The 11540-nt window shown below is 34.4% G+C and overlaps 1 protein-coding gene across 1 annotated transcript; it reads right to left on the minus strand.

Moving 5' to 3' along the window:
* Positions 1–3138: 3138 nt before the first annotated feature.
* On the minus strand, positions 3139–6112 carry OR5T2 (olfactory receptor family 5 subfamily T member 2). The gene is made up of 2 exons (NM_001004746.4): positions 6034–6112; positions 3139–5121 (listed from the first exon to the last, which is right to left on the minus strand). The coding sequence occupies exon 2, from the start codon at positions 4917–4919 to the stop codon at positions 3963–3965; it is 957 nt and encodes a 318-aa protein (NP_001004746.2). The 5' UTR covers positions 4920–5121; positions 6034–6112; the 3' UTR covers positions 3139–3962.
* Positions 6113–11540: the final 5428 nt, after the last annotated feature.

The raw sequence follows: 11540 nt of genomic DNA on the forward strand, positions 1-11540 counted from the left end.
ATAGAGAGAGATCAAAAGAACAAATCCACATATATATGGTCCACATCTTCGACAGGGCTCCTAACACAGAGTAAAGGAGAGTCTCTTCAACAAACGGTTCTGGGAAAACTGGATATCCACACGCAAAAGAATAAAATTGGGCCCTTATCTAATTATACTCAAAAGTCAACTCAAAATGGATTAAACATAAGACCTGAAAATTCAAAACTCCTAGGAGAAAAGATAGAGAAAATTTTTATTACATTAGTCTTGGGAATGATTGCTTGAAGATGATACCAAAAGTACAGACAGCAAAATAAAAACAAAATTGACAAGTTGGAATTTATCAAACTAAAAAACTTCTGCATAGTTAAGGAAACAATCAACACAGTGTATATACAGTATACAAAATGGGAGAAAATATTTGCAAACCATATATCTGATAAGGGTTTAACTTCTAAAATATATTAAAAACTCCTACAACTCTATATCGACAAACAAACAAACAAAAAATCCTAATGACCCAATTGAAAACAGGCTAAAGACATGAATTGACATTTCTTCAAAGAAGAGATACAAATGACCAACAGATATATGAAAAGATACTCAAGATCACCACTCAGGAGGAAAATGCAAATCAACACCACAATGAAATATCACCTTATACCTGTGAGGATGTGTGAGGATGATAATTATTAAAAAGAAAATAAAAGACAGCAATTATTGAAAAAAATATGAAGAAGTTAGGACCCTTGAAATTTTTCAATGAAAAGCAAAATGGTGCAGACACTATGGAAACTGCTAAAAAAATATAGAACTACCATATCATCCAATAATCTCTCCAAATTTGGGGTATTTATCCAAAAGAGTTTATATTACAATATCAAAAAGATATTAGAACACCCATGTTCATGCAGCATTATTCAAAATAGCCAAGAGGTGGAAACAATCTCAGAGTCCATTGATGGATGAATGGGTAAAGGAAATGTGGCATATACATGCAATGGCATATTATTCAGCCTTAAAATATGGGCATCTTGCAATATAGGAGAACATGGATTAACCTGGAGGACATTATACTAAATGAAACAAACCAGTAACAAAATAATAAATACTGCATGATTCCATTTATAGGAAGAATCTATAAAATACTCAAACTTATAGAACCAGAAAGTAGAATGGCAGTTTCAACGGACTAGGAGCTGGGAGAAATGGGGAGTTTTTAATCAACAGGTATAAAGTCTCAATATGCAAGATAAATAAGTTCTAAGGATCTACTTCCAACATTGTGCCTATAATTAAAAGTAATGTAAACTTACAAATGTTAGAGGGTATATTTCATGTAAAGCACAATAAAACACAATTTAAAAAATAAAAGAGGCCGGGCGCGGTGGCTCAAGCCTGTAATCCCAGCACTTTGGGGAGCCGAGGCGGGCAGATCACAAGGTCAGGAGATCGAGACTATCCTGGCTAACACGGTGAAACCCCGTCTCTACTAAAAATACAAAAAATTAGCCGGGCATGGTGGTGGTGGGCGCCTGTACTCCCAGCTACTCGGGAGGCTGAGGCAGGAGAATGGCGTGAACTCGGGAGACGGAGCTTGCAGTGAGCCGAGATCGTGCCACTGCACTCCAGCCTGGGCGACAGAGCAAGACTCCGTCTCAAAAAATAAATAAATAAATAAATAAATAAATAAATAAATAAATAAATAAAATAAAATAAAATAAATGATAAAACAACCCATGCTACAACAGACATGGAATGTTTTCAAATAATGTTTGAAAACATTATGCTAAGTGAAAGCAGAACAGGAAGCAAAGGTCACTTTTCTATGGTTCCTTTATAAGAAATATCCAGAATAGGAAAATACAGACATGGAGCACAGATTTTGGGGGGCTGGAGTAAGTGAGAACTGGGGAGAAACTACTTATTGTGTACTTCTTACTGATGGACGTGTTCTGGAGCTAGACAGAGGTGGTGATTGCACAATATTGTGAATGTAGTAATTGCCACTGAATTAATTATTCCCATAAATAGTTAATTTTATCACATGGGAATTTTACCTTAATATATTATTTTTAAATGAGTTTAGATATAATTTTACATGTTGTGTGCCTTTTTAAATTAAGTCCCAACTTTTATTTTGCCCATGTAACTGATGTGTATTCTTGATAACAAATTGTGTCTGATACATGAAAAGAAATTGTTTATTTTATGAAAGCTTTTAGTTTATAAAGTTTCAAATTTAGTGTACTCACCTTAGTTTGTATTTGCTAGCAAATTACCCAAAAGTGTTTGAGTGTTTTCTATCATTTCACATTTACATTTTCTAGATTATTATTAAAGTATATCCATTGTCCATAAGAGGTTTCACCTTTTATGAATTTTATCCATGTATATTTTATGCATTGTGCTATAAATTTTATTATGAATTAACTCAACAAATGAATGATTGTATCTATTTTCCCAAGTCTGTAGTTTGGTTTTTTATTATATTTTTGGTACTTTTTGTCATGCAGACTTTACAATTTTTAAAGAATGAAAACAATCTTTCTGATTTTAAGTGGTGTTTAAAGATCTCTTCTATTCTAAAACATACACACAAGCACACACACGCCACACATATGCACACAGGGGCTGTCCTCATTTGCATGATTTTGCACACACATATGATGAATATCAATGACCATAACTTAATTTTGACTTTTGAAGTAAGGAATCACATAATATCAGAGGACAGAGCCTCCAAACAGGAGAAAATAAATGCAGATGTATTATGTAGAAATATTCTGTGGGAGGATATGCTCTATATTTATACTTTTGAAGTGTGATTTAGATGTATTAATCATATTTTAGCAAAATATTCAAAATATTCATTATATGGAGATGAAAGAAAACAATACACATTTTTAAGTAAAGGTTACAAACATAAATGCCTGTGAATGTGCATTTTTGTGTATATCAATGACTATCAGCATGTATGTACATGTATACGTGAACATATGTATATGTATACATACATAAAGAAAATAGATGACACAGATTTTTCTACATGTAAGAACAGCATAGGTACAGGGTCACTTATGATCTTTATTTTAAAACGTCCAAGAAAAAAAACAGGATTACACTAATAAATTAAACATTTTTATTATCGTCTAGGGAAAACTCTTGCTAACCAGGTTTTTCCTCTACTGTCATACCACAACAATCATCAACACAGAAGACTTCTGTGATCAAATGGGTAGGGATTTCTTCCTCCCACACCACGTGGTAATCACCAACTGGGTATCCTCTAATTCAGTTGCAACACTATCTACCCAGAGATAGTGTCAGATCCCATAGGTTGAGGGTTCAGTCCCCAAAACTGCCCCCTGACAACACCAGTCACAAATTCGGGTCTCTGAAACTTTGACCAACCTGCTTCAAGTTGGATCTCCCATGACCCCCTCTTTGGGTTTCATTAAATTACTGAAGCAGCTCACAAAACTCAGGGAAACATATTACTGGCTTATTGAAAAGGATATTGCAAAGGACACTGGTGAAGGGATGTGTAGGGCAAAGTATAAGGAAAGGGGTGCAGAGTTTCCATGCCCTCCCTGACCATGCCACCCTCTAGGAACTTCCATTTGTTCTGCTCCCCAGAAGCTCACTGAACCCTATCCTCCTAGGTTCTATGGAAGCTTCAAGGCATCAGCATTCCCTCCCCGAAGGTATAGGGTGGGACTCTCTCATGGGAGAGTCTTAAGATTCACAATCAGTAAGGCAGACATTGGAACCCAGCCTTGGTGCAAGTGAAAGGAGGGCAGGAGAAGGTAAAAGGCCTGCCCCTGAGGTATAACACCCAACATTATAACAAAAGACTGTAACAAAGGCTATGGGAATTATGAGCCAGGAACCCTGGATGGAAACCAACATATATCATAACACCACAATGACACATTCTTGGTATTGAGGTGCAGAGTATCACCCTCACCTTTTATAATTTATTTTTTAGTATGAAAATATACTTTATTGATAACCTGATTTTTCCCAAACATTTTTTTCATTGAGTCTTTTACATCTTTGTTCCTCAAACTGTAGATGACGGGATTCAGCAAGGGAATCACAATGGTGTAAAATATTGACACTATCATGTCATGGTCCGAAGCATAGCTGGAACTTGGTCTCACATACATGAAGAGGATTGTCCCATAATAAATTGACACTCCAGTTAGGTGAGCTCCACATGTGGAGAAGACTTTTCTCCTCCCTTCAGCAGAATACATCTTCAGAATGGCCAACAGAATCAAACCATAGGAGATCAGAACAATCAGGATAGTGACCAGCTCGATAGAGCCCACAAAGTAGAAGAGTAGAAGCTGGTTTGTGTGAGTGTCAGAATAAGAAATAGCAAGGAGAGGAGGGATATCACAAAAGACACGCCTAATTTCATTGGCTCCACAGAAGGATAGGCTAAATGTAGCCACTGTATGTATAGTAGCATGTAAAATGCCAGCAACATAGGAAGCATTGATGAGTGGCATGTAGACTCTGGGTGACATGCTCACTGAATACAGGAGAGGGTTGTAGATGGCTACATAGCGATCATAAGCCATTGCAGCCAAGAGAAAGCATTCTGTGGTTCCAAAACTACAAGCAAGAAACACCTGTGCTACACATCCAAGGAATGAAATGACTTTATTCTTTGTCGTAAAATCTACTAACATATTTGGGGTAATAACTGAGGAATAGCAGGCATCCACAGAAGACAACATACTCAGAAAATAGTACATGGGTTTGTGGAGCTGGGAATCCCTAATGACCACTAAAATCAGTCCTAAATTTCCCATGAGAGTGAAGAGGTAGATTGCTAGAAACAGGAAGAAGAAGATAGTCTGCAGTTCAAGATTGTCTGTGAAGCCCTTCAGTACAAATAAGGTAACTTCAGTGACATTCTTCATGTTGAAATCTAGAACAAACTTGAAGATATGCATAAAGTTACAGTTCATATTATGACAAAAAGAATGAACAACACCATGACTCAAGGGGATGTTAACTGTGCTCTTGTATATACTGTACGACATATATTCAGCAGTGCATAATTCTCTAGTAGTGAATCAGAAGACAGTGACAAACTGGTCAGCCATGTGTTCATGCCACTCACTGCAGAATCAAATGGAAGAAATGGACGTTCATTAGTTGGCTGGACTTATTCTGTTTCTAAAATCATCAGGTCTACTGGTTAATTTACCACTGAATTGTATTAAGCTGTTTATATATTAAATAATATTAAAACACACAAAAATGAGTGGCTTAAACAATCTTTGGGCATCCAAATACACAAGAGACTGTATCAGGGGACAGAGCATTGGAATACAATACCAGAATTTTAGAACTTGTAGCAATTGTGCAAAATGATTTGCTATATCTACTTGTCTATAGAATGAGAACATTAATAGTTTGTTCACAAGATTGGAGTAAATATTGAAGGAAAATTGCATTAATAAAATATAATATGTAAAATAATTTTGATTATAGAATATGCTGAATTAAGTTGGTTCTACATTCTATCAAGATTAAATCCAATGAACAGTTATGATTTTTTTCATCTGCTCATTCAAATGTCTCTGAATTATTCTTTGGAGAATGAAGAAGTTTTGTGAATTACTTGATCATTTTATGCCAAAAATAAACATGCAAATTACCATGATTCCATTTTCTACATTACAATTGTCTTAATTTTGCTTTGTGCAAATAAGATACTTCAACCAAATTTCTTGTGAGACAGGCATTTCTACTAGATGCCAAAATAAGTTATATTGGGTAAAAATTAAGTTAATATTAGCACATAGTCAAAGATTCAGAGTTATAAAGAGAAAATCACTATGATTCTTGAAGATTTAATAATATAGAATCAACTTTTTAAATTAATGCAAATCTATTTTTATGAAACAAATTTTAATGGAAGGGAGAAAACTTTAAATATCGTGAATGTAATAACGAAACACTAAGTTTGCTAAATAACAGGCATTTATTTAGCACTTGCTGCAAGAACAGACATTTCTTGTACATTACCTTATTTCACCTTTATAGCAACTTTCATAGCTAACAATTTCCAGAGCCAAGATTCAATCCCAGGTTTCTCTCATTGTACATGAAATTTTTGCATTTTTTCATGGCCTCATAAATGGCTTCATTCTGCAACTGGAACACTCTTCCTCTTACCCCTCTGCTGACCTCAGGGAAATAAAGGTAAAGCAAAACATGATTCTCGATGTATTTGTATTTTTTAAGCCATTAAATCTAGAGAAACATAAAATAAGTAGCAATCTGAAGTGACTTCTAGATTATAAAGCCAGAAAATAAATTTAAAATAAGTATTGATTGTTTTCCTTATTACTTCAAAATACAAGACCCCAGATAAATGAATAAGTCAAATGTTTTTTTGCCCTTTGTTGATATTTATTGGTAAATTCATGACCTTTGAACTATCTTTATCTATAAGAAAAATACAAGCATATACTCTATTAGGAGCACTCTTATTTATCTCTATAAGTACAAATACAATATTTTCTATTTTTTATTGTTTTCTAGTAAGTGTTGGATTTTAATTCTTAGGCATAACTCTAAATAAATCATATTTTGATGAATACACTTGATTCACATATGTAATAGTCCAGAACTGAAGTGTTTAGTTCTTGGTGTTTAGCAGCTAAAAAGTTTAGTAAAAAAAAACATAGTTATTCTTGATATTGTAGGTTCTAGCTGCCGAAATATTCTTCAAATTATCTGAAATTTTCTCTTACCTGTGGAACAGCAAATGCAGATTTAGGTATTCTATGAATATGGCTAACTTAGATTGTTTATATCTTTGTAATTGACTGTTGATGAAATCCAAGGAGATGTCCCAAGGGGAATATGCCCCAATTATCTTCTGTTTCAAAATAGCACCATGATGATTTACTTAATAATAAAAAGTAAATGATTCCGGAATAAGGCACTGCATGCTCCTACTTATTGAATCAATAGAGTTCTTTGGCTTCTGTTTAAAATGTGTCAGATTTGAATTTCCCTGATGACTACTGATGTTGAACATCTTTTCATACATCTGAAGGCCATTTGTATGTCTTCTTTGGAAAAAAAATGTATTCAAGTCCTTTGCCAGTTTTAAAATAAGATTATTGTTATTGTGGCTATTGAATTTATATATTTTGATATTAATCCCCTATTAGATATATCATTTACAAATATTTTTTGTTTGGCTGATGGTTTTCTTCATTGTGCAGAAGATTTTGACTTTGACGTAGCCCTACTTGTCTAATTTTGGTTTTGTTACTTGGCTTTTTATGTCATTGCTTGTATTTTTATGTTACATCCAACAAGTTACTGCCAAGCTGAAGGTCCTAAAGTTTTTCCTTATGTTTTCTTCTAGAAATTGTAGTTTCAGGTTTTATGTTTAAATTTTTAATCCATTTTGGGTTGGTTATTTTATATGGTATAAGACAAGGGTCCAATTTAATTTCCCATTGTGTATTCTTGGCACACTTGTGAAAGATCATTTGACTATATACATGTGGGATTGTTTCCAGGCTCCCTATTCTGTTCCGTTGGTCTATATATCTGTCCTTATTCCAGTCCCATGCTATTTAATTACTGTAGTTTTGTAATATCATTGAAATAAAAAAGTATAATACCTCTAGCTTTGTTTTTCTTTCTCAAGATTCCTTTGGCTATTTGAAGTCTTTTGTAATTGCACATAATTTTTACGATGTTTTTTCTATTTCTGTAAAACCCAGCACTAGGATTTTGCAGGAAATGCATTAAATCTGAAGACCCCTTTGGGTAATATGGAGATTTTAATTATTGCAGATCAAAACCACAATGAGATATCATCACACACCTGTTATGGCCATTATTTAAAAAAAAAAAGTATTGATAAGAATGTGGAGAAATTGGAACCCTGGTGTACTGTTGACAAGAATATAAAACAGTGCAGCCATGATTGAAAATAGTATGGAAGTTCCTTGAAACATTAAAAACAGGATTACTATACAATCCTGAAATTCTGAAACCACCTTCGCAAAATTATGACAGTAAGAGAAATCTGCCATGACTGACTTCTTCTTGCTTCTATCATCACAGGCTGTCTGTCTTTGCTCATCTCTGGGCATGGACCAAATAACTTCGGGAGAAATTTAGTTTATAGTTTAAATGATAATAGTCCTTTGCAAAAACTAAACCACCTTTGTAAAACTAATCAAAGGCACCAAGTTAAGAGGATGAGAGGAGTCTGTGTTCTGCTAAGATATAGGCCTAGTAAAATGATTACCAGCCATTTTTTCCTGGAAGTCACAAGATTTGCAGCTTCCCCAATTATTCCTGCAGATAACATAGCTATTGTAGAACCTAAGATTGGCATTTTGAGATTCTTTTCAAATATTTGTATATCTGATAGCTGGATGGCCCCACCTGGACCTCTGACTCAAACAGTCATGTGGCCCCCACCCAGAAACACACTCAACACATGAGGATCATTTTCCACATCCCTATGATTCATCCTAAACTGATCAGCAACACCCATACCCTAGCCCTCTGCCCATCAAACTATCTTTGAAAAGCACCTAACTTTCAAGCCTTCAAGGAGATTGAATTGAGTAATAACTCCCTCTCCCATATGGTGTGGCAAGCCTCATCTCTTTTGCTTATTCTCATGCATTTTCATCCTCATAGCTTAGCTCCAGCTTATGAATGAGATGACATGATATTTATTTTTCCATTCTTTTCTTTACTGCAATGCCGTGGTCTCAGTAAATTGATTTTGTCTGTGGAGCAGTCAGCAAAAAATCCATTTGGCAGTTACAATTCGATATCTGGGTATTTATCCAAAATACTTGAAATCAGGATTTTGAAGATATATGTAGTCCATGTTTAATGCAGTATTATTCACAATGGCCAAAATGTGGAAGCAACCTAAATGTGCATTAATAGATTAATGGCAAACGAATAAGAGGTATATACACAGCTTTAAAAAGAGTAGACCCTGTCATATGTGTTATCATGGTAGAACCAGGAGGACTTTACTGACAAACACTGTGTGATTCCACTTACGTGCGATATCTATAATACTCTCAATGATTAGAGAGTAGAATGGTGGGCTGCCAGGGGCTGAGGAGAGGGGTAATGGGAGTTTATATTCAATGGATACTAAATTGCCATCATGTATGACATAAGAATTCTAGAGATCTATTGTACAACATTGTGCCTATAGTTAATACTGCATCACACACATAAATTTTGTTGAGAAGGTAGTTCTCATGTTAAATTTCTTATCATAAAATTTTTGAAAAAACAAAAACACAGAAAATGATGCTTTAGAAAAAACTATGATTCAAGACTAGGTAAGAGCTCTTAAATCCTAAAGTTTAAGCTTCAATCATAGTGGTGACCATGGGTTAGAACTTAATTTCTCTGAGGTTCAGTTTCCTCATCCTGAAAATATATGCAATTTTGTCTTATTTTTATTTTATTTTTTGGTTTTGAAGGCTTTCCATTTTCATAAATTTTATTTTTATTTCAACAGTTTATGGAATACAGGTGGTTTTTGGTTACATGGGTAAATTCTTTAGCGGTGATTCCTGAGATTTTGGTGCACCAGTCATCCAAGCAGTGTACACTGTACCCAATATATAGTCTTCTGTTCATCACCCCTCTCTCACCCTCCACCTTGAGTCCTCAAAGTCCATTATATCGTTTTTAAGCCTTTTCATCCTCTTAGCTTAGCTCCCACTTATAAGTGAGAACATACAATATTTGGTTTTCCATTCTTGAGTTACTTCACCTAGAATAACATCTCCAGCTCCATCCAGGTTGCTGCAAAAGACATCATTTCATTCCTTTTTAAGGCTGAGTAGTATTCCATGGTGTGTATATACCACATTTGCTTTTTCTACTCGTTGGTTGATGAGCACATAGATTGGTTCAATATCTTTGCGATTGCAATTTGTGCTGCTATACGTGTGAATGTGTGCTGCTATACATGTGAATGTGTCTTTTTCATATGACTTATTTTCCTTTGGGTAGATACCCAGTAGTGGAACTGCTGGATCAAATGGTAGTTCTATATTTTGTTCTTTAAGAAATCTCCATACTGTTTTCCATAGTGGTTGTACTAGTTTACATTCCCACCAGCAGTGTAAAAGTGTTCCCTTTTCACCACAAGCATACCAACATCTATTGTTTTTGACTTTTTAATTATGCCCATTTTTGCAGGAGTAAAGTGGTATCTCATTGTAGTTTTAATTTGTATTTCCCAGATAATTAGCAATGTTGAGCATTTATTCATGTGTTTGTTGGCTGTTTGTATATCTTCATTTTAGAATTGTCTATTTTTGTTCTTTGCCTATTTTTGATGGGATTATTTGTTTTTCTCTTAATGATTTGTTTGAATTCCCTTTAGGTGCTGAATATTAGTCCTTTGCCAGATGCATAGTTTGTGAATATTTTCTCCCAGTCTGTAGGTTGTCTGTTTACTCCACTGAACATTTCTTTTGCTGTGCAGAAGATTTTACTTTAAGTAAGTTCCATTTATTTATTTTTGTTTTTGTTACATTTGTTTTTTGAGTCTTAGCTGTGAATTATTTTCCTAAGCCAATGTCTAAAAGAGTTTTTATGGTGTTCTAGAATTTTTATAGTTTTAGGTTTTAGATTTAAGTCTTTTAACAGTCTTGAATTGATTTTTTTATAAGGTGAGAGATGAGGATACAGTTTCATTCTTCTACATTGGCTTGCCAGGTTTCCCAGCACCATTTATTGAAAAGGATATCCTTTCCCCATTTTATGTTTTTGTTTGCTTTGTTCAGGATAAGTTGGCTGTTAGTATTTGGCTTTATTCATGGGTTCTCTATTTTATTCCATTGGTCTACATGCCTATTTTTATACAAGTACCATGCTCCATGCTGTTTTGGCAACAATAGCCTTATAAGATAGTTTGAAGTCAGGTAATGTGATGCCTCCAGATTTGTTCTTTTTGTTCAGTATTGTTTTGGCTATGTGGGCTCTTTTTTGTTCCCATATGAATTTTAGGATTTTTTTTTTCTAGTTCTGTGAAGAATGATGATGGTAGTTTATTGGGAATTGCATGGAATCTGTAGATTGCTTTGGGCAGTATGGTCATTTTCACAGTATTGATCATACCCATCCATGAGCATGAGATGTGTAAGCTATTTTGTATTGCAGTCAGCCAGTAAAAAGGATAAACTATAATAATGTAAAAGTACAATATATTTCTGTTAGAATATAGCAAATGGATTTAAAATTATCCAAACTCATTATACTGACACTCTTTTCAAATTATAAAGTGATTATTCACAATAGCAAAGACATAGAATCAATCTAAATGTCCACCAGTGGTAGACTAGATGAAGAAAATGTGGTATGTATACACCACGGAACACTATGCAACTATTAAAAAAAAGAGAGAGATTATGTCCTTTGCAAGAACATAGATGGAATTGGAGGCCATTATCCCTAGCAAACTAACACAGGAACAGAAAACCATATACCACATGTTCTCACTTGTAAGT

Source organism: Homo sapiens, chromosome 11 (assembly GCF_000001405.40).
Source record: "Homo sapiens chromosome 11, GRCh38.p14 Primary Assembly".
NCBI classification, from domain to species: domain Eukaryota; kingdom Metazoa; phylum Chordata; class Mammalia; order Primates; family Hominidae; genus Homo; species Homo sapiens.

Bases quoted from the DNA above. Each gene is read 5' to 3' on its own strand.
- OR5T2 (NM_001004746.4), bottom strand. From the start codon at position 4,919: ATGAAGAATGTCACTGAAGTTACCTTATTTGTACTGAAGGGCTTCACA.